A 21,566-nucleotide genomic window follows, 5' to 3' on the forward strand; every position below is an offset into this window, starting at 1 on the left:
AGATCGCGCCATTGCACTCCAGCCTGGGTGACAGAGCAAGGCTCTGTCTCAAAAACAAAACAAAACAAAACAAAACAAAACAAAAAACCACCTAAGATCAGAGAAAGGCAATCACCAAGTAAAAGGATAGGACAGACAGAAACTACTATTAACTGCTTTAATTCTGTCAGTATAATTCCCACTGGGCCTACCCACATGCCAATTTCATTAGTTGATATGATTTGGCTCTGTGTCCTCCCCCACATCTCATGTCGAATTGTAATCCCCACGTGTCAGGGGAGGGACCTGGTGGGAGGTGATTGGATCATGGGGGTGGAATTCCCCCTTGCTGTTCTTGTGATAGTGGGTGAATTCTTATGAGATCTGATTTTTAAAAGTGTGTGGCCTTTTCCCCTTTGTTCTCTCTCTTCTGCCAGCATGCGAAGAGGGTCTTTGCTTACCCTTCACCTTCCACCATGATTGTAAGTTTCCTGAGGCCTCCAAGCCATGATTCCTGTTAAGCCTGCAGAACTGTGAGTCAATTAAACCCCTTTTCTTCAAAAATTACCCAGTCTCAAGTGGTTCTTCACAGCAGTGTGAAAATGGACTAATACATTAATTTTCCAAGTTATCTCAACGAGAACAATAATAACGATTACTACTACATTTTATTCAGAGCCTAGGTACTGTGGCATGTGCTTTTTTTTTTTTTTTTTTTCTTGTGAAATAGGGTCTTGCTCTGTCACCCAGGCTGGAGTGAAGTGGTGCAATTATGGCTCACTACAGCCTTGACCTACGAGGCACAAACAATCTTCCCTCCTGAGTAGCTGGCACTACAGGATCACGCCACCACACCCGGCTAATTTTTGTATTTTTTATAGAGATGCAGTTTCACCTTGTTGCTCAGGCTGGTCTTCAACTCCTGAACTCCAGTGATCCACCTGCCTCGGCCTCCTAAAGTGCTGGGATTACAGGTGTGAGCCACCGCGCCCAGCCGTAAGTGCTTTTTATGTGCACAATTGTTGATATTCACACTTGGACCTCCACTGTTCTTCAATAACATAGGGCTTGTTTTCTTGCTTTGGGTAGAAATAGCAGATCGTGTTTCCTGAACACTCAGACTTCACCTTCCTAGGTTCTCTGTGGCCAGTTTCCCACAGCGGGCCCATGTCCTGAATTATGCTCTAGACTAATTCAAGTCACCCACATATTAAACATCAAATCCTTTGCCCTGAAGCCAAAGCTCTCTCTTTGGGAGTTAAATAAATGAGATGTTCACGCACACAATTACTCAAAAGGTTGGGCGCGAAGGGGCCAATTCTTCTTGTTGTCGTTGTTGTTGTTGTTGAGACAGAGTCTCGCTCTGTAGCCCAGGCTGGAGTGCAGTGGCGCAATCTCGGCTCACTGCAAGCTCCGCCTCCCGGGTTCACACTATTCTCCTGCCTCAGCCTCCCAAGTAGCTGGGACTCCCGGCTAATTTTTTGTATTTTTAGTAGAGACGGGGTTTCACCATGTTAGCCAGGATGGTGATCTCCTGACCTTGTGATCCGCCCGCCTCGGCCTCCCAAAGTGCTGGGATTACAGGCGTGAGCCACCGTGCTCAGTGTTTTTTTGTTTTGTTTTGTTTTTTGTTTTTTGAGACTGAGTCTCGCTCTGTCGCCCAGACTGGAGTGCAGTGACACGATTTTGGCTCACTGCAACCTCTGTCTCCTGGGTTCAAGCAATTCTCTGCCTCAGTCTCCTGAGGAGCTGGTATTACAGGCGCCCACCCCCACGCCCGGCTAATTTTTGTATTTTTGGTAGAGACTGGGTTTCATCATCTTGGCCAGGCTGGTCTTGAACTCCGGACCTCATGATTCATCCGCCTTGGCCTTCCAAAGTGCTGGGATTACAGGTGTGAGCCACTGTGCCCAGCCTGGGAATTCTAAAAAAGGACTTAGTCTCCGTTGTCTAGGCTGGGCACTGGACAGTTGACCAGAGGCTCAACCGGATGCCTTCGAGAGGGCCCTGGAGAACTGAGAGGTCTGCGGTTCAATGGTCAGGGGAGAAGGAGGAATGTTCCCGGGCCTTGGTTTCTCCTTGGATTGAATTCAGTCTACACAAGGGCCTCTTGGGGCCCGAGTTGTCTAAGTAAACACTGATTCCTTGACAAGTTTCCAAAAGTGGGAACAGAGCAACTGTTTGGTTTGAACAAGCTGTGCTCTGTAAACCACCACTTGCATATGACCAGGGCCCCGTGTAAATATTTTAGCTACAGATGGAAAGAACATAACTTTTTTTGAAATCCCATCACTTCACTGCTAGACTTATAATGAATTATGTGTTGTCTCTATTTGCTGTTAGACTTAAAATGAATTATGTGTTATTTCTATTTGTTGGGAGGTCCAGTTCTCTAATTTAATTGTAGGCTGCTTAGATGTGCCTCTACTGAGACTGCTAGGGTTTGGGGAAAGCACAGTAAAGAACATGCCACTTTTGGCCGGGCGCAGTGGCTCACGCCTGTAATCCCAGCACTTTGGGAGGCCAAGGCGGGCAGATCACCTGAGGTCAGGAGTTCGAGACCAGCCTGGCCAACATGGTGAAACCCTGTCTCTATTAAAAAATACAAAAATTAGCTGGGCGTGGTGGCAGGCGCCTTAATCCCAGCTACTTGGGAGGCAGAGGCAGGAGAATTGTTTGAACCTGGGAGGCGGAGGTTGCAGTGAGCTGAGATCGAGCCATTGCACTCAAGCCTGGGGGATAAGAGCGAGACTTGTCTCAAAAAAAAAAGGAACATGCCACTTTTTCCTGCTTGAATTTGGCACAAAATGAAAGGAAGACACAAGAACCAAGTAGGTGGGGATGATAATATCACTTGATTTCCAGTGAACTGATTTTGGAGATATTTGATTTGTTTTAGGTGTGTGGTAAAGAGCTGCTGCTGCTGCTTCTTCCTCTTCTTTTTTTTTTTTTTTTGAGACAGAGTCTGGCTCTGTTGCCCAAGCTGGAGTGCAGTGGTGTGATAATGGCTCACTGCCGCCTTGACCTCCCAGGCTCAAGCAATCCTCCCATCTCAGCCTCCCAAGTAGCTTGGACCACAAGCACATGCCACCATGCCCAGCTAATTTTAAAAATTATTCTTGGTAGAGATGGCATATTAGTTTGTTCTTGCACTGCTATAAAGAACTACTGGGCTGGGTGCGGTGGCTCACGCATGTAATTCAAGTTTTGGGAGGCTGAGGTGGGCAGATCACCTGAGGTCAGGAATTCGAGACCAGACTGACCAATATGGTGAAACCCCATCTCTACTAAAAATACAAAAATTAGCCAGGTGGGTGCCTGTAGTCCCAGCTACTTTGGAGGCTGAGACAGGAGAATCACTTGAACTCAGGAGGCAGAGGTTGCAGTGAGCTGAGATCATGCCACTGCACTCCAGCCTGGGTGACAGAGCGACACTCCATCTCCAAAAAAAAAAAAAAAAAAAAAAAAAAAAAACAAAAAACTACCTGAGACTGCGTAATTTATTTTTTAACAAGTTTTATTTTATTTTATTTTATTTTATTTTTTGAGAGGAGTCGCGTTCTGTCACCCAGGCTGAAGTGCAATGGCGTGATCTCGGCTCACTGCAACCCTAGCTTCCCAGGTTCAAGAGATTCTCCTGCCTCAGCCTCCTGAGTAGCTGGGACTACAGGTGCGCACTGCCACACCTGGCTAATCTTTGTATTTTTAGTACAGATGGGGTTTTACCATGTTGGCCAGGCTGGTCTCAAACTCCTGGCCTCAAGTGATCCACCTGCCTCGGCTTCCCAAAGTGTTGAGAATGCAGATATGAGCCACTGTGCCCAGCCTTAAGAAAAGAGGTTTAATTGGTTCATGGTTCCACAGGCTGACCAGGAACCATGGCTGGGGAGGCCTCAGGAAGGTGAGGGAAAGCAGGCAAGTCTTACATGGCTGGAGTAGGAGGAAGAGGGCAAAGCAGGAAGTGCTACACACCTTTTAAACAACCAAATCTCATAAGAACTCGCTCACTATCACAAGAACAACAAGGGGGAACTTCGCCCCCAGGATCCACTCACCCTCCCACCAGGCCCCTCCTCCAACACTGGGGATTACAATTCCACATGAGATTTGGGTGGGGACACAAATCCAAACCATATCAGGTGGGCTCTCACTATGTTGCCCAGGCTGGTCTTGAACTCTTGGGCTCAAACAATCCTCTCACCTCAGCCTCCCAACATGCTGGGATTACAGCCACTGCATCCAGTCAACTAAGGAGCTTCTAATTCCTCACCCTAGAGTTAAGCAGACTTAGCCACCCTGTTTGAGTGCTTGGTGCTTTACTACCCAGCACTGAAGTGAGCAGACCTATGCTTCAGAGGTAGAGCCTGGCCCTGTAGGACTTAAGGCATGGAGGAACAGAAGAGAAGGTGTGTTGGCAAAAAGAACAGAAAGAAGGAACTCAGTGGAGCATGCCCAGTTCCTTCTCCCACACCCACCAGAGTGTTATTCTTCCTCCCATGGGAAACAGTAAGGGAGGGGACCAAGAGCAGCTAATATGTTACTCTGATGGACCTCCTGCCACATGGAAACTTGAAGCCAGAGCAAAGGAAGTTTGCCACCAATAGACACCTTGATGAAGAATGAAGCAAAGGAGAGGCCTGGCCAAGGAACCCAGACACAGCTTCTTGGCAAAGAAGATGACAACTGCTTGAATCAGAAAGCAGAACTAGGCTGGGTGTGGTGGCTCACATCTGTAATCCCAACATGTTGGGAGGCCAAGGGATTGCTTGAGGCCAATAATTAAACATCAGCCTGGGCAGCATAGCAAGACCTCATCTCTACAAAAAATAAAAATATAGCTAGGTGTGGTAGTGCACAGCTGTAGTCCTATCTACTTGGGAGGCTGAGGTGGGAGGAGTGCTTGAGCCCAGGAGGTCAAGGCTGTAGAGTGAGCTATCATTATACCACTACACTCTACCCAAGAAGAACTTGACCTTGAAAAGGAAGTTTGCCTTCAGGAATAGTTCCAATACTGGTAATACTTAGACCCTGTATTAGTCAGTTCTCACACTGCTAATAAAGACATACCCAAGGCTGGGTAATTTATAAAGGAAAGAGGTTTAATTGACTCACAGTTCCACATGGCTGAGGAGGCCTCACAATCATAGCAGAAGAGCAAGGGACGTCTTACATGGTGGTAGGCAAGAGAGAGAACTTGTGCAGGGAAACTTCCCTTTATAAAACTATCAGATCTCGTGAGACTTATTCACTATCATGAGAACAGCACAGGAAAGACCTGTCCCATCATTCAATTACCTCCCACCACGTCCTTCCCAAGACACATGGAAATTGTGGGAGCTACAATTCAAGATGACGTTTGGGTGGGGACACAGCCAAACCATATCAGACCCCTTTATAGGTAGGAAGACAGACTCTGAGAGTATTGCCTCCAGATCCAATCACCACAATTGACATCATCTCCCTTTGCCAAGAACACTCCACTCCCTGTCCAACCATGCCTCCCTTCGTGACTGGGGCAGACCAGGCTGTGCCCTAGTCAGGTGGAAATTAGCATCATGAATTTCAAACCTGATTCTTTATATGTTTCCCCTCTGGTTATGTGGCAGATTGGGTTTTTCTGGTACCTCTACCTGGAAGGAGATGAGAGGGCAGATCTTTCAACATAATAATTCCCCAAAGATCTACAAGAACCTATTCATATTATTAAGATGTAAGTATATCTCTTTAGCCTCAATCACAAAGGCTGAGATTGTGGTTGGATGGAGCCAGAGACTCTGGAGGAGGGTCGAGGGGTAGAAAATGAAAGAGGGGCTGGGCAAGGTGGCTCATGCCTGTAATCCCAGCACTTTGGCAGGCCGAGGCGGGCAGATCACTTGAGCGTAGGAGTTTGAGACCAGCCTGAGCAACATGGCAAAACCCCATCTCTATAAAAAAATTAAGAAATTAGCCGGGAGGCCGGGCATGGTGGCTGACACCTGTAATCCCAGCACTTTGGGAGGCCGAAGCTGGTGGATAAGCTGAGGTCAGGAGTTTGAGACCAGCCTGCCCAACCTGGTGAAACCCCGTCTCTACTAAAAATACAAAAATTGATTACACTTGTAATCCCAGCACTTTGGGAGGCCAAGGTGGGAGGATTGGGCACCTGTAATCCCAGCTACTTGGGAGGCTGAGGCATGAGAATGACTTGAACCCGAGACGCAGAGGTTGCAGTGAACCGAGATTGCGCCATTGCTGTAATAAGATGGGAACCTTCCTGGGAGTGGAGGCTGCCTGTTTGCCTTTCTGGAGGTTGCTGGGAGTAAGGGCAGGGTTTTTCTTGAAGAGCCTAACCATCCTCAGTCACTGTTGACCTCTCTACTGCGTTCCTCTCTCCTCGTTGATTTCTGCCTTTGTCTATTTGGGCTGCTATAACAGAATACCATAGACTGGGTGGCTTATAATAGAAAGTGTTTCTCACAGTTCTGAATGCTGGGAAGTTGAAGATCAAAGTACCAACAGATTCAGAAACATCGCTCTGGTAGGAACTGAACAGTAGGAGGGCAATCAAGGCAGGAAGTCTAGGTAAGAAGTTTTTCCAACAGTTCAATTAAGAGTTGATGAGGCTGGGTCCAGTGGCTCATGCCTTTAATGCCAGCACTTTGGGAGGCCGAGATGGGAGGATTGCTTTAGTGCAGGAGTTTGAGACCAGCCTGGGCAACATAGTGGGACCCATCTCAAAAAAAAAAAAAAAGAGTTGATGAGCAGGAGGATTGAAAATAGAAACGAGGAAGCAGATGAGAGAAAGATCTTGGCAGAGAAAGAATGCACAAGGCTGGTCATTGCTATATCTGAATGTTTATGTCATCCCAAAATGTCTGGTGAGCACCCACTTTCTGGTTCATAGAAGGCACCTTCTCACTGTGTCTTTACATGGTTGAAGGGGTGAGGGGTTTCTCTGGGGCCTCTTTTATAAGCGTACCATTCCCATTCATGAGCGCCCCCACCCTAATTATCTTATCACCTCCCAAAGGCTCTACCTCCTAATACCATCACCTTGGAGATGAGGATTTCAATCTATTAATTTGGGGATGACACAAACATTCAGACGATTGCAATGACCGGCCTTGTGCATTCTTTCTCAGCAAGGTCTTTCTCTCATCTGCTTCCTCGTTTTTATTTTCAATGCTCCTGCTTATCAACTCTTTTTGTTTTCTTTTCTTTCTTTTCGAGATGGGGTCCTGCTATGTTGCCCAGGCTGGTCTCGAACTCCTGGGATCAAGCAATCCTCCCAACCTGGCCTCCCAAAGTGCTGGGATTACAAGTATGAGCCACTGTGCCCTGCCTCATCAACTCTTGATTGAACTGTTGGAAAAACTTTTTACCTAGACTTCCTGCCTTTATTGCCCTCCATCTGCACTTACTGTTCAGTTCCTACCACAGTGATGTTTCTGATAAAACTGATCTAATCTACTTAAGGCCCTCTGCTACTCAAGTCTTTGCTCATTCTCCATTGTCTATAAAACAAAATCCAAGATTCAAGAGTCTTAGGCAAGCTTGCAATTTATCTTCTGCTATGATTGTTCATACATCCTATACACTAAGACAAGCGCAGCCAAGCAAGTATGGAATGTTGGGTTAGAAGGAAAGAGGTTGGGGGTAAACTGAATAAATGGGCCAGTTTTGCAGGAAATTGGCGGAAAAGAGAAATAATTTGGTATTTCTAATATTTATTATGTCTTCCTAAAGGGAATGGTCAAGTGATTTATGGAACCACTACTTATGATATGTTATAGACCCTTTAAAAAATTGCATTCACACTTCAAAAATAGGGTTATATGTGTACTAATAGAATCCATGGTATATTAATATAATACTTTATTATTAAGACTTCTAAAAATCAAATTGGAAAAATATGGGAGTATAAAATGCTCAACATATTAATATAATGTTACAGTGAAAAAAGTAGAATAAATTTATTCTTATACTATCATTTTTTTTTTTTTTTTGAGACAGAATCTCCCTCTGCCACCCAGGCTGGAGTGCAGTGGCACAATCTTGGCTCACTGCAACCTCTGCCTCCCAAGTTCAAGCAATTCTCGTGACTCAGCCTCCCAAGTAGCTGGGGCTACAGGCACGCGCCACTGCACCCGGCTAAATTTTTTGTATTTTTTAGTAGAGATGGGGTTTCACCATGTTATCCAGGTTGGTCTCGAACTCCTGACCTCAGGTCATCCGCCTGCTTTGGCCTGCCAAAGTGCTGGGATTACAGGCGTGAGCCACTACGCCCAGCCGATTTTTGTTTTTAATTTTTTTAATTTTTTTTATTTTTTTGAGAAAGATCTTGCTCTGTTACCCAGGCTGAAGTACGGTGGCATGATCTTAGCTCACTGCAGCCTCAGCCTCCTGGACTCAAGCAATCCGCCCACCTCAGTCTCCTGAGGTGCTGAGGTTACAAGCATGACCCACCATGCCCAGCTATACTATAATATAATTTCCACAAAGAGAACACAGACTACAATGTATTACAAAAACATATTAATATATGATGGGATTATAGAAGAGTTTTTATTCATTCTTAAATTTTTAAACATTTTTCTTCCTTTTTCTTTTCTTTATTTTTTTTTAAATTGAGATAGGGTCTTACTGTGCTGCCCAGGCTGGTCTCAAACTCCCGGGCTCAAGTGATCCTCCCACCTTGGCCTCCTAAAGTGCTGGGATTACCGGCATGAGCCACTGCATCCAGCCAATTTTTTGTATTTGTCAAATGTCCTACAATAATCCTACTTTTATGATTAGAAAAGAGGAATAATGGTTACAAGGTTTATAATATGAGGAAATGCAATTTGTTATAATATTAAATTTAAAAGGCAGAAGACAAAATTATGTAAAGTGATCTCAACGGTGTTAAATTTTTTTAAAGTGGGAAGGAAACATACCCAAATGTTAACAGAGAGAAAAAGAGAGGGTGAGAGAGAAATTCATTATAAGAAATTGGCTCATACAATTATGGAGGCTGGCAAGTCCCAAATCTGCAATGTGGGCTGGCAGGCTGTAGACCTAGGAGAACTGGTGGTATAGTTTCAGTACAAAGGCAGTCTTCTGGAAAATTCCTCCTTGCTCACAGAGGCCAGAGTTTTTGTTCTATTCAGGCCTTCATCTAATTGGATGAGGCCCACTCACATTATGGAAGGCCGCCTGCTTACTCAAAGATTTAAATGTTGATCTCATCCAAACACGCCCTCCAAGTTGACAGATAAAATTAACCATTACAGACAGCACCACCAGTAAAGTATTCCTGCCAAAAATATAAATCTAGCTGAATCTCATTAATCTTGTCAATGTAATTATCAGATAATGTGATGAACAACAGGGGATAGAGGAGCATGTTAAAAGACACCATGAGAGGCCAGGTGCAGTGGCTCACACCTGTAATCCCAGCACTTTGGGAGGCCAAGGCGGGCGGATCACCTAAGGTCAGGAGTTCAAGACCAGCCTAGCCACCATGGTGAAACCCCATCTCTACAAAAATACAAAAGTTAGCTGGGTGTGGTGGCGGGTGCCTGTAGTCCCAGCTACTTGGGAGGCTGAGGCAGGAGAATGGCGTGAACCTGGGAGGCGGAGCTTGCAGTGAGCTGAGATCACGCCACTGCACTCCAGCCCAGGCGACAGAGCGAGACTCTGTCTCAAAAAAAAAAAAAAAGACACCATGAGGAGGAGATTAGTCAATCCTCTACATGATAAATGAATGGCATTAAAAAATAGAGGAATCATGATAGATGAAAAGTGATTCTTTGTTTGTATCCTGATTTGAACAAAACAACCCTACAGAGACATTTATAAGAATATCAGAGAAATCTGAACACTAACTAGACATTAGTGGATATTAAGAATTTTTTCATATGTTAATGGTATCATAGTTTTATTTTTTATTTTTTAAAACAAAGGATCTTGTTTCTTTTTTTTTTCTTTTCTTTTTTTTTGAGAGGAGTCTTGCTCTGACTCACAGGCTGGAGTGCAGTTGTGCAGTCTCACTGACTGCAACCTCTGCTTCCTGGGTTCCAGCGATTCTCCTGCCTGAGCCTCCAGAGTAGCTGGGATTACAGGTGTGCACCACCACTCCTGGCTAATTTTTGTATTTTTGGTAGAGACAGGGTTTCACCATGTGGACCAGGCTGATCTCGAACTTCTGACCTCAGGTGATCCACCCAACTTGGCCTCCCGGAGTGCTGGAATTACAGGCATGAGCCACCATGCCTGGCTGATCTTGTTTCTTAAAAATGCATGGTGAGAGGGCAGGCACAGCGTCTCACACTTACAACCACAATACTTTGGGAGGCTGAGGGAGGCAGATAGCTTGAGCCCAGGAATTCAAGACCAGCTTGGGCAACATGGCAAAATCCCATCTCTATGAAAAATACAAAAATTAGCCAGGAGTGGTGGTTCCAGCTACTCGGGAGGCTGAGGTGGGAGGATTGTTTGAGCCTGGGAGGTCAAGGCTGCAGTGAGCTATGATCGTGCCACTGCACTCCAGACTGGGCGACACAGTGAGACCCTGTCTCACATACACACAAAAATACATTGTGACACATTTGCAAATGGGAAGATTTGATGTCTGAGCTTTGCTTTAGTATAACCAAGCACATTGGTTTCAGGGCATGGAAATTCTGTGTTCTCAAAGTCACACTTACCTGTAAAAGAGCAAATCAGTGGGATTCTCCTGGCTTGCATAACTACAAATCTGGAATGAAAGCAGCATATGTAATTTAAAATTTTCTAGGTCACATTAATGAAAGTAAAAGAAACAGCCTGGGCGAGGTGGCTTATGCCTGTAATCCCAGCATTTGGGAGACCAGGGTTGGAGGATTGCTTGAGCCCAGAAGTTTGAGACCAGCCTAGGCAACATGGTAAGAACCCATCTCTACAAAATTTTAAAAATTAGCCAGGTGTAGTGGTGTGCGCCTGTGGTCTCATCTACTCAGGAGGCTGAGGCAGAAGGATCGCTTGACCCAGGAGGTCAAGGCTGCAGTGAGCCATGTTCTCCCCACTGCACTCCAGCTAGGGCAACAGAGTGAGACCCTGTCTCAAAAATAAATAAATAAAATAAAATAAAAAGAAGAAGAAGAAGAAAAGAAATGAAACAAGTAAAATTAGTAATCAGTATTAATTATTATTATTATTTTGAGACAGAGTTTCACTGTGATGCCCAGGCTGGAGTGCAATGGCATGATATCGGCTCACTGCAACCTCCACCTCCTGGGTTCAAGCGCTTCTCCTGCCTCAGCCTCCCCAGTGGCTGGGATTACAGGCGCCTGCCACGGCACCCAGCTAATTTTTGTATTTTTGGTAGAGACGGGGTTTCACCATATTGGCCAGGCTGGTCTTGAACTCCTGACTCAAGTGATCCACCCGCCTCAGTCTCCCGAAGTGCTGGGATTACAGGCGTGAGCCACCACGCCCAGCCTAATACAAATTCTTCTAACCCAATATATTCAAAAGATTATTTCAATATGTAATCAACATAAAAAAGTATTGAAATATTTTGGCTTTTTTCATCCTAAGTTTTTGAAATCTGTTGTGTATTATACACTTACAGCATATCTCAATTTGGCCTCACCATATATTTTGAGTGCTCAGTAGCCACATGTGGCCACCGTATTGAACAGCACAGGGCTACAGTTGGTTGATAAGGACTCTGGAAACACTATTTTGGGGGATTTTCTCTTTTTATTTTTTAATTTTTTTTAGAGACAGGGTCTTGCTCTGTTGTCCAGGCTAGAGTGCAGTGACACAATTATAGCTCATTACAGCCTCAAACTCCTGGACTCCAAGCAACCTTCCTGCCTTAGCCTCCTGAGTAACTAGGACTACAGGCACACACCATCACTCCTAGCTAATTTTTTGTTTTTATTTTTATTTTTAGAGATAGGGGTATCACTCTGTTGGCCTAGGTTGGTCTCGAACACCTAGCCCCAAAGGATCCTCCTCCCTCGGTCTCTCAAAGCTCTGGGATTGTAGGTGTCAGTCACCGCACCAGGCCAGATATTCTCTTTCTTACTTCAAATATTGTCTAGTTCTCAGGATGTCTTTTTCATGACTGCAGAAGGACTTCCCATAGAAACTAGAACAATGTGTTTCTAGTTTACATTCAAAAAGACTGAGAACTTAGCAAAATTTTCCAGTATCTCTTTGGCCCACATTGGCCTCGACCTGCCATCCCTGAACCAAACATTAGCAAAAAAAAAAAAAAGAAAAAAAAGGTGGGTGATTGATTAGACTAATCAGAGGCCTAGAGGTGGCATCAATTCCTTGAGCCTCTCAGCCATTATTCTGCGGAGGAGAGATGGAGAGGATGTTGAGTGCCGAGCCCAAAGTCATCTACTTTAGGGAAGGTTCTAGCACCCAGAAATACCATCCAGCAGGCTCAAAATCTTCTCCACCAGCTGGGTGCAGTGGCTCATGCCTGTAATCCCAGCACCTTAGGAGGTTGAAACGGGAGGATCACTGGAGCCCAGGAGTTTGAGACCAGCCTGGGCAGCACAGCAAGACCCCACCTCTACAAAAAAAATTTTTAAAAATCAGCCAGGTGTGGTGGTGCGCCCCTGTACTCCCAGCTATTCAGGATGCTGTGGTGGGAGGATGGCTTGACCTGAGCCCATGAGGTTGAGGCTGCAGTGAGCCGTAGTCATGCCATTGCACTCCAGCCTGAGTGACAGAGCGAGGCCTTGTCTCAAAAGAACAACAAAACTTCTCCACCATTCATGGGACAAGAAAGCGCAACTCCTCCAGGGACCACCTTCAATGACCTTTGCCATGAAGAAGCAAAGAGCTCTTTTTTTTTTCCTTCTTTTTTTTTTTTTTCGAGAGGTTCTCCCTCTGTCACCCAAGCTGGAACACAGTGGTGTGATCACAGCTCACTGCAGCCTCGACCTCCTGGGATCAAGCAATTCTTCCACCTCAGCCTCCTGAGTAGCTGTAACTACAGGCGCACATCATCACGCCTGGCTAATTTTTGTATTTTTTTTGTGTAGAGATGGGGTTTCACCATGTTGCCCAGGCTGATCTCAAACTCCTGGACTCAAGGGATCTGCCTGCCTCAATCTCCCAAAATGCTGGGATTATAGATGTGAGCCACTGCACCCAGCCAAAAAGCTCATTTATACCATCTTTTTTCAAGCTGGCATGGAGCTGAGCTGTTACCAGTGATGTATGAGACTTCCCTAGGAAAACAAGACCCCAAAATTCCAGTCTTTCAGCACAGTATAGACAGCGCAGTGTAGTGAAGCAGCCCTTCCCTGGTTTCTGCACCTGTTCTACCCACCTCTCAGTTGTGGGACCTCAGGCAGAGCACATAGCTGTCCTGGTTGTGTTTCCCATTTGTAAAGTACAGGCTTACATTACAACACGAGTGAGTGTTCACCCATTGTTCTTCCTTTTAATGACATTTTACAAGGAAGCCCAACATAAAAGCAGATAAAAGCAAAGCTTCTCTGCTTGTAGTGAGAACAGGGACCTGGCCTTTCCCTCAGTAGAGCCACTGAGTCATTCTTTAACAAACACTTAAATTGTATTTACTTTAAGCTCAGCTCTAAGTGTATTACATGCATTAATTTAATATTTTACTTAAATCTTCTTAGTAACCCTGTGAAGTGGGCATTATAATGATCCACAATTTCCATGAGGGAGTTGAAGCCCAATGGAGTTGAGCAACTTGCTGAAGGTCACACAGCTCGTAAGTCACAGAGCCAAGATTCAAACCCAGACACTCAACTCCAGGATCCACGTCTCTATCTTTTTAAAGCCCAGTGACTCCACAAACCAGCTCAAAGCCACTCCGCTGGATGATGCCTAAGATACCCTTCAGTCTTCAAGTGTGTCAGCCTATGAGTAATAGTCTGGTGTGTTGCTTGTTTATTTCAGCATAGTAGACATCCTCAATCGAAATCCCACTGTCCAGCCTCCAGCACTCCATGCATGGGTGCAAGTGAGAGTGGTGGTAGGAAGAGCGATGGAGAGGGCATGTCTTCTGCAGATCCTCGATAAGTCTAAGTCCAGGCAGCTCACTCCAGTCCACTTCAACTAAAACCCATGGACTCTTATTTCAGGCTTTTGACTCTACTCCTACACCATAATCTCAGGAGGAGTATATTTTTCTAACCTCAACTCACATATTCACGGGGAATATGGGAGAGAATTGTAGTAGTAAAGGTTATCCTGGATATGGAGTGTCCCCAGAATCCTGATCACCCAACCTATAGCCCTGTGCTGTCCAATATGGTGGCCACATGTGGCTACTGAGCACTCAAAATATATGGTGAGGCCAAACTGAGATATGCTGTAAGTGTAAAATACACAACAGATTTTGATGACTTAGGATGAAACTTATATGATGTACTTGGATCAGTCAAACTCATAGAGACAAACTAGAAGAGCAGTTACTAGGGGCTGAAGGGAGGATGGAATGAGGAATTATTTTTTAATGGGTACAGAGTTTCAGTTTTGAAAGATAAAAAAGTTCTGGAGATAAATAGTGCAAGCAATGTGAATCTACTTAATACCACTGAATTATACACTAAAAAATGGTTGAAATAGTAAATTTTATGTTATAGATTATATAAATATAGATTTATAAATAATTTTGGTATTATAGCATACATATATTAATATATACATATTAAAATATTCATGATATATAAATATTTTACGCATATATGTAAATACATATACACATATGTAGATATACACATATTATAATATATACATATTATGTATTTATGCAATGTATATACATATTAGTATACATATTAATATGTACATATCATAAATTAATACATATTATTCAATAATAAATATAAATTATATTACATGAATATTATATAATTGATATGTATATAATGTATATATAATATGTATATATACAGACTATGTATTATGCATTATATATTATATATACACATAATGTGTATATACACATATTATATATGTATACATATTATATATAACATGTATATATTTATACATATTATATTATTATATTTTTATCACTAGGTATATGTATGTTTATATATAAATATATAGTGGTAAAATATATACTTATATATATTAAAAGGTGGCTGTATATATAGTCATAAAATAAATATAACAAAATTTAAATAAATAATGTCTACTTCATGGGGAGATATATGTGTGTGTATGTGGTGTATATATACAATGGTAAAATATATACAGTGGGCCGGGAGCAGTGGTTCATGCCTGTAATCCCAGTACTTTGGGAGGCTGAGGTGGATGGATCACCTGAGATCAGGAGTTTGAGACCAGTCTGGCCAACATAGTGAAACCTCGTCTCTACTAAAAAAAAAAAAAAAAAAAAAATACAAAAAATTAGCCAGGTTTGGTGGTGTGCACCTATAATCCCAGCTACTCGGGAGGCTGAGGGAGGAGAATCGCATGAACCCAGGAGGTGGAGGTTGCAGTGAGCTGAGATTGTGCCACTGCACTCCAGCCTGGGTGACAGTGCAAGACTTTGTCACAAAAAATAAAATAAAAAATATGAAAAAATATATATAGTGGGTATATATATATATATAAAATAGTGGTCATATATATAGTGGTAAAATATATGTTACATAAAATTTAAATAAATAATGTCTACTTCATAGGGAGAGATATGTGTGTGTATGTGCATATGTGTATGCATATATATATATATATATATATATATATATATATATATATATATGAAGACCCTACTGGAAAATTTACAATGTGTTGACTGTATTTTAGTTGGGGAACAGATTCACTGTAGCGCAATTCTCAGCTCTGTTCTGCCACTTATTCTGTCACCGCTTTGAGGAGGTTAGATCAGAGATTTGATAGTCAGTTAAACCTAGGGTACACTCTTAGCTCTACCACTTGCTAGCTGTGGGACCAATACAAGTTACTAAAAAACAAAAAATATCAACTAATATTTATTAATTGATTGAGCATTTTCATTTATGGCAGGCACTGTACTGAGCATTTTACATACATTGTTCATTTCATCCTCATAATCACCCCATACCATATAGTCTACCATTTATTCCCACATTACATAAAGTGAGGCACAGAGAGGTGAAGTTGGCTAAGGTCACACAGTCAGCACGTGGGAGAAGCAGGACTCATCCCACAAAGCCAACTTCCCCATCAGACACCGCAAGCACAGGGCCCATGAGGCTTTATTTTATTCTAATAACATTGTTTTATTTTAATTTGTTTTAAACTTGGAAGAAAAACATAAATATAATAATAATGAGCATATAATAATGAATTCAGCAAGGCACAGTGGCTCACACCCATAATCCCAGCACTTTGGGAAACCAAAGCAGAAGGATCACTTGAGTCCAGGAGGTTGAGACCAGCCTGGGCAACATAGTGAAACCTCATCTCTATTATTACATTTTTTAAAATTAAAAAATAAAAAAATACATTTTAAAAATAGTGACTTCAGTCTGGATTAGATTTAACTTCATTCCAACATAGTCGTGAAATATAAAGTTAAATTTTTTTATGGAGGGAAGGGGCCCACAGAGGCAAGATTGCCTAGGGTCCATGAAATCAGGCCCCCTCACTGCAGGCCCCGGGCTTAAACTGTTACAGTTTACCAGCTCTCCGCACCCCAGCAAACCTGCTTGAAGACCATATATCTATGCGCACCCAGACAAGTCGTCCGTTTTGTATTTTCTCTCTCTTTTTTTTTTTTTTTTTTTTGAGACAGAGACCAGGCTGGAGTGCAGTGACGCGATCTCGACTCACTGCAACCTCTGCCTCCCAGGTGCAAGTGATTCTCCTGTCTCAGCCTCCCAAGTAGCTGGGATTGTAGGCATGCGCCACCATGCCTGGCTAATATTTGTATTTTTGGTAGAGATGGGGTTTCACCATGTTGGCCAGGCTGTTCTCGAACACCTGATCTCAAGTGATCCACCCACCTCGGACTTCCAAAGTGCTGGGATTACAGGCGTGAGCCACTGCGCCTGGCCCAAGTTGTCCTTTTTGTGTCTCAGTTTCCCCCTCTGTAAGATGGGAATAATAAAGAGTATTGACTTGTGTATGGCCATGAAGACACTGAGTAAATGTGCACACCTAAACCCCGTGCCTGACGCTCAGCAAAGGCTCCATAACATTTAGCTACATCTGACCTCATTCCTTGGGGCAGCAACAGGGTCTGGAGGTTTTCTCAGAGAGCCAGCTGTCTGACAGCCTCGGCGCAGCAACACCTCATCAGACACACCAGGAATTCCACAGCATCTTCACAGCAGACTCTGGAGAGATTCTGATCTAGTCTTCAACCAACCAGGGGAAATCCACGCTTGTGAAAACTTCCAGGCACCAGCAATAATTTCCCCCCTTCCCACGCTCCTCCCCAGTCTCCTGGGCCCTTTTCCATCTAGCTCTGTTTCTGCAGGAAGCAGGACAAAAAGGATTCCATTTTAAGCAAGTGTAGAAGAAAGAGCACAGACTCGGCACTCTTGGGACCTGGCTTTGCAGCTCGGCTCTGCCAAAAACAACGTTGGACAATTCACTCATGCTCTCTGAGCCTCAGAGTTGTCAGCTAGGTAACAGGAATCCATCATTAAAACAGTAATAATAACTGTCACTGTTATTACTAGAACACTCTATGGTGTAAGCATACAGACTTTCAGGTCAGAGTCCTTTGGTTCTGCCATGGCCTGGATGTCTGTGATCTGCACCCCTCCCAAATTCATACATTGAAATCCTAACCCCCAAAGTGATGGTATTAGGAGGTGGGGCCTTTTGGAGGTGACAGGTCATAAGGGTGAGCCCTCATGAATGTGATTAGTACCTTTGTAAAAGAGGCTCTAGAGAGACCCCTCACCCCTTCTACTACGTGAGGACACAGTGAGGAGATGCTATCTGTGAACCAGAAAGTAGGCCCTTATCAGATACTGAATTTGCTGATGTCACAGCCACTGGAACTGTGAGAAGTAAGTGGTTGTTGATTATAAGCCATGCAGTTGATGGTGTTTTTTTGTTATAGCAGCCCAAACAGACTAAGATTCACATCACGGGTTCTACCCCTTGAAAGTACATGACCTTCCCTTTCTAAGGTTTCTCATTTGTAAATGGGGAATAATAACAGCCCCCACCTCAAAGGGTTATTGGGATAATTAAATGAGATAATTAAATCCAAAGATCTTTGTAGTACTGGGCACACAGTAAGTGCTAGATAAAGGCCAGCAATTGTTGTTGTTATTATTATTATTATTATTATTGAGACAGGATCTCACTTTGTCACCCAGGCTGGAGTGCAGTGATGCAATCTTGGCTCACTGAAGCCTCTGCCTCCGAGGCTCATGGTCCTCCCACCTCAGTCTCCCTAGTAGCTGGGACTACAGGCACACACCACTACATCTGGGTAATTTTTTTATTTTTTGTAGAGATAGGATTTCACCATGTTGCCCAGGCTGGTCGCAAACTCCTGAGCTCAAGCGATCCTTCCGCCTTGGCCTCCCAGTGCTGGGATTACAGACATGAACCACTGTGCCCAGCTAGCAATGGTTATTTTAATTATAATGGTGTTTGTTCTTGAGCCCTGTAGCATATAATAGAGTTTTCCAACTGCACACAGTAATGGTCAATTAATAGCTGTTGAATGAGTGGATGAATGAATGGATGGATGAATTAGTGAATGAATCTTGCTATCACTGTCAATCTAGGACTCTTTTCTTCATACTAAATTCCCATTGTCCTAATGGCAGCAGGAGTTTTAGCAGCCTCAAGACTTTCAGGTTTCTTGTTTCTTTTTGATTTGATGAGGTGGTTTAAGATATGTCCACAATTTGACACTTCCTTCAAAAGGTGGACCCTATTTCCCTTCCTCTTGACTGTGAACTGAATTTAGTAACTCATTTGTAACAAACAGAATAAAGTGGAAGTGACAGTGTACAACTTCCAAGACCAAGGTCACAAAAGACCTTGAGGCTTCTGTCTTGGTCTCTCTCTCTCTCTCTCAGATTGCCTGCTCCTGCAGAGGGCTGCTGCCATGTCATGAGCACTCTCAAGCAGCTCTAGCGAGGGGTCATGTCATGAGGAACTGAGACCTTCTGCCAATAGCTGTGTGAATGAGCCATCATGGAGGCAGGTCCTCCAGCCCCAGTCAAGCCTTCAGATGATGGCAGCCCCAGCTGATGATTTGACTGCAAACTCTCATGCAACCAGGAATAAGAACCACTCAGCAGAACCACTCCCAATTTCCTGACCCACAGAAACTGTGAGATAAATAAATATTGCTTTAAGCTGCTGTGCTTAGGGATAATTTGTTACACAGCAATAGATAAGTTATACATTTTGTATGACTTTTTTTTTTCTTTTTGAGACAGGGTCTCACTCTGCCACCCAGGTTGGAGTGCAGTGGCATGATCACAGCTCACTGCAGCCTCAACCTCCCAGGTTCAAGCGATACTCTTGCCTCAGCCACCTGAGTAGCTGGGACCACAGTTGTGCACCACTACCCGTGGCTAATTTTTTATATTTTTTGGTAGAGACAGGGTCTCCTTATGTTGCCCAGACTGGTCTTGAACTCCTGAACTCAAGCAATCTGCCCACCTTGGCCTCCCAAAGTGCTGGGATTACAGGTGTGAGCCACCATGCCTGGCCCATATATGACTTTTTTTTTTTTTTCAGGTTAGACGGGTAATGTGACAATGTTGTAACAAGGTTCAGAGAGTGGCAGATCTCACACATACACATAAACACCCAATCATCATGCTCATGAACTGCAAAAGGATCTTATATGACTATTCTTGATAAAAGGTTGTTGAACGAATTCTTTTCTATCAATCCTTCCTCATGGAGACTTCGGACTGTTCATTCTCCATATTATGTTAGCACTATTCAGAAACCCTGAATCCCACACATTATTGGTGATGTTACTGTTACTAAACCATGCCTGCTAACTAATGAAGGACCCCCTACCCCTTAAGGTCTCAGGTGGGCTGCATCCTGACCTCCGATGAACACCAGACCTCAGCGGGATTGGCATCACCAGATCCCTGGCTGGGGAGGAAGATTCAGGCTCCATAACAAGCAGGCTTCTTTCCAGTCAGTAGCTCATATTTGGAAGGCTCGTGTTGTATATTTCAGCAGGGCCCATCTCAGAGAGAATATTTCCTTACTCACAGCTCTCACACTGTTTTAACAACAGCTAATCCTTTCACCTTATTTGGATGCGATGTCAGAATCCCTTCTGTGGCTGGCGAAGTCTCAGCACTAACTGGAGAGAAGACTTATAGGCCTTTGCATCTGAAGACAAACTCTGCCTGAGGTGGAAAAGAGAGGCTGGGAAGAGCGTTGAGGTTGACATTTGACAGCCTCATCAGCTCAGGGCTGAAAAAGACAAGCTGGCCAGGTGCAGTGGCTCATGCCTGTAATCCCAGCACTTTGGGAGGCCAAGACAGGCGGATCACTTGAGGCCAGGAGTTTGAGACCAGCTTGACCAACATGGTGAAACCCCATCTGTAATAAAAATAAAATAAATAAATAAATAAGATGGGCTGGCTAGCTCTCTCTGTTTCACCACGAGGACCTTAGCCAGGCTGTCCTAAGGGTATGGCGGTGTGGCTAAGGCCAGCCAGTTCAACAGTCTTTAACCAAGCATGTGCTATGCACCAGTCACTGTAGACAAGGCCAGCACACAAAGATGAGTAGCCAAGGTCCTTGCCCTTGGGGAGTTCATGGTCCAGTTGGGGAAGACAAGCAAACCAATTAGTAACAACAGTTCAGAGCAGTAGCTGCTGCATTCACTTGGCCAGGTGCAGCGGCTCTTGCCTGTAATCCCAGCACTTTGGGAGGCTGATGCGGGCAGATTGCTTGAGCCCAGGAGTTTGAGACCAGCCTGGGCAACATGGCAAGACCCTGTCTCAAAAAAAAAAAATACAGAAATTAGTTGGGCATGGTGGCACACGCCTGTAGTCCCAGCTACTTGGGAGGCTGAGGAGGATCGCTTGAGCCCGGGAGGTCAAGGCTGAGGTGAGCTGAGATTGCACCACTGCACTCCAGCCAGGGCGACCAGAATGAGAACCTGTCTCAAAAAAATAAAAAACAAAAAAACCCCAGAGCAGCAGCAGAGGTGTACTGCCACGCCAGGTGAACTGGGGGCACAAGACAGGGGAGGCCAAGGGAGGGTTCCTGGACTCTTGGAGGCAGTGTTTCCTGAGCTAATTGTGAGGCGAGAGAAGTAACCACACAACAGAGGCTGGGAACAGTTACCTAGGCAGAGGGAAGAGACTAAGCCAGGCCTCACCAGCAAGGCAGGAAGTGGAAGGAGGAGCACCAAGTGCTGGGTGAGGCTGGGGGTCAAGTGGGAGTGAAGTGGGAGGGGCAGGAAGCGTAGCTGGAGGAGAAGGAAGTGTCCAGCGGAGGAGAGTCTTGCATCCCACGATACAGAGCTAGCGTTTCATCTTGGACGTGATGGGCAGTCACTGAAAGGTTTTGAGCAGAAAAGGGACTCCATTAGGTTTGGGTTTTAGGATGTTCATTCAGTCAACCCTGGGGAGGGTGGATTTGAAGACTGGAAGCAGAGAGGCCAGTGAAGAGGGACGCTGCCATCACTTGTG

At 44.3% G+C, this 21,566-nt stretch overlaps 2 long non-coding RNA genes and 1 other non-coding gene across 6 annotated transcripts in view; 1 reads left to right on the forward strand and 2 right to left on the reverse strand.

Annotated features, from left to right (window-relative positions):
• Positions 1-19,252, forward strand: part of LOC105376819 (uncharacterized) — a 47,268-nt gene extending 28,016 nt beyond the window's left edge. Inside the window, exons 2-4 of one of the 4 annotated variants that reach the window (XR_947020.3) lie at positions 5,586-5,689; positions 13,593-13,853; positions 18,966-19,252. This is a non-coding gene — a long non-coding RNA (uncharacterized LOC105376819). Of the gene's footprint in view, positions 1-416; positions 547-5,585; positions 5,690-13,592; positions 13,854-18,965 lie in introns of those variants that run through there. The other 3 variants (XR_947019.1, XR_001737920.2, XR_007065522.1) reach the window with 3 other exon arrangements.
• On the reverse strand, positions 5-17,310 carry LOC105376817 (uncharacterized). Its single transcript, XR_947017.3, has 4 exons — positions 17,130-17,310; positions 10,647-10,696; positions 5,548-5,609; positions 5-43 (listed from the first exon to the last, which is right to left on the reverse strand). It is a non-coding gene; the product is annotated as an uncharacterized LOC105376817 (long non-coding RNA).
• Positions 19,253-19,634: 382 nt separating the features above from the next.
• On the reverse strand, positions 19,635-19,739 carry LOC124904816 (small nucleolar RNA U13). Its single transcript, XR_007067412.1, has one exon. It is a non-coding gene; the product is annotated as a small nucleolar RNA U13 (small nucleolar RNA).
• Between the last annotated feature and the right edge of the window lie 1,827 nt (positions 19,740-21,566).

The sequence above is a fragment of the Homo sapiens genome, chromosome 1 (genome assembly GCF_000001405.40).
Source record: "Homo sapiens chromosome 1, GRCh38.p14 Primary Assembly".
NCBI lineage: Eukaryota > Metazoa > Chordata > Mammalia > Primates > Hominidae > Homo > Homo sapiens.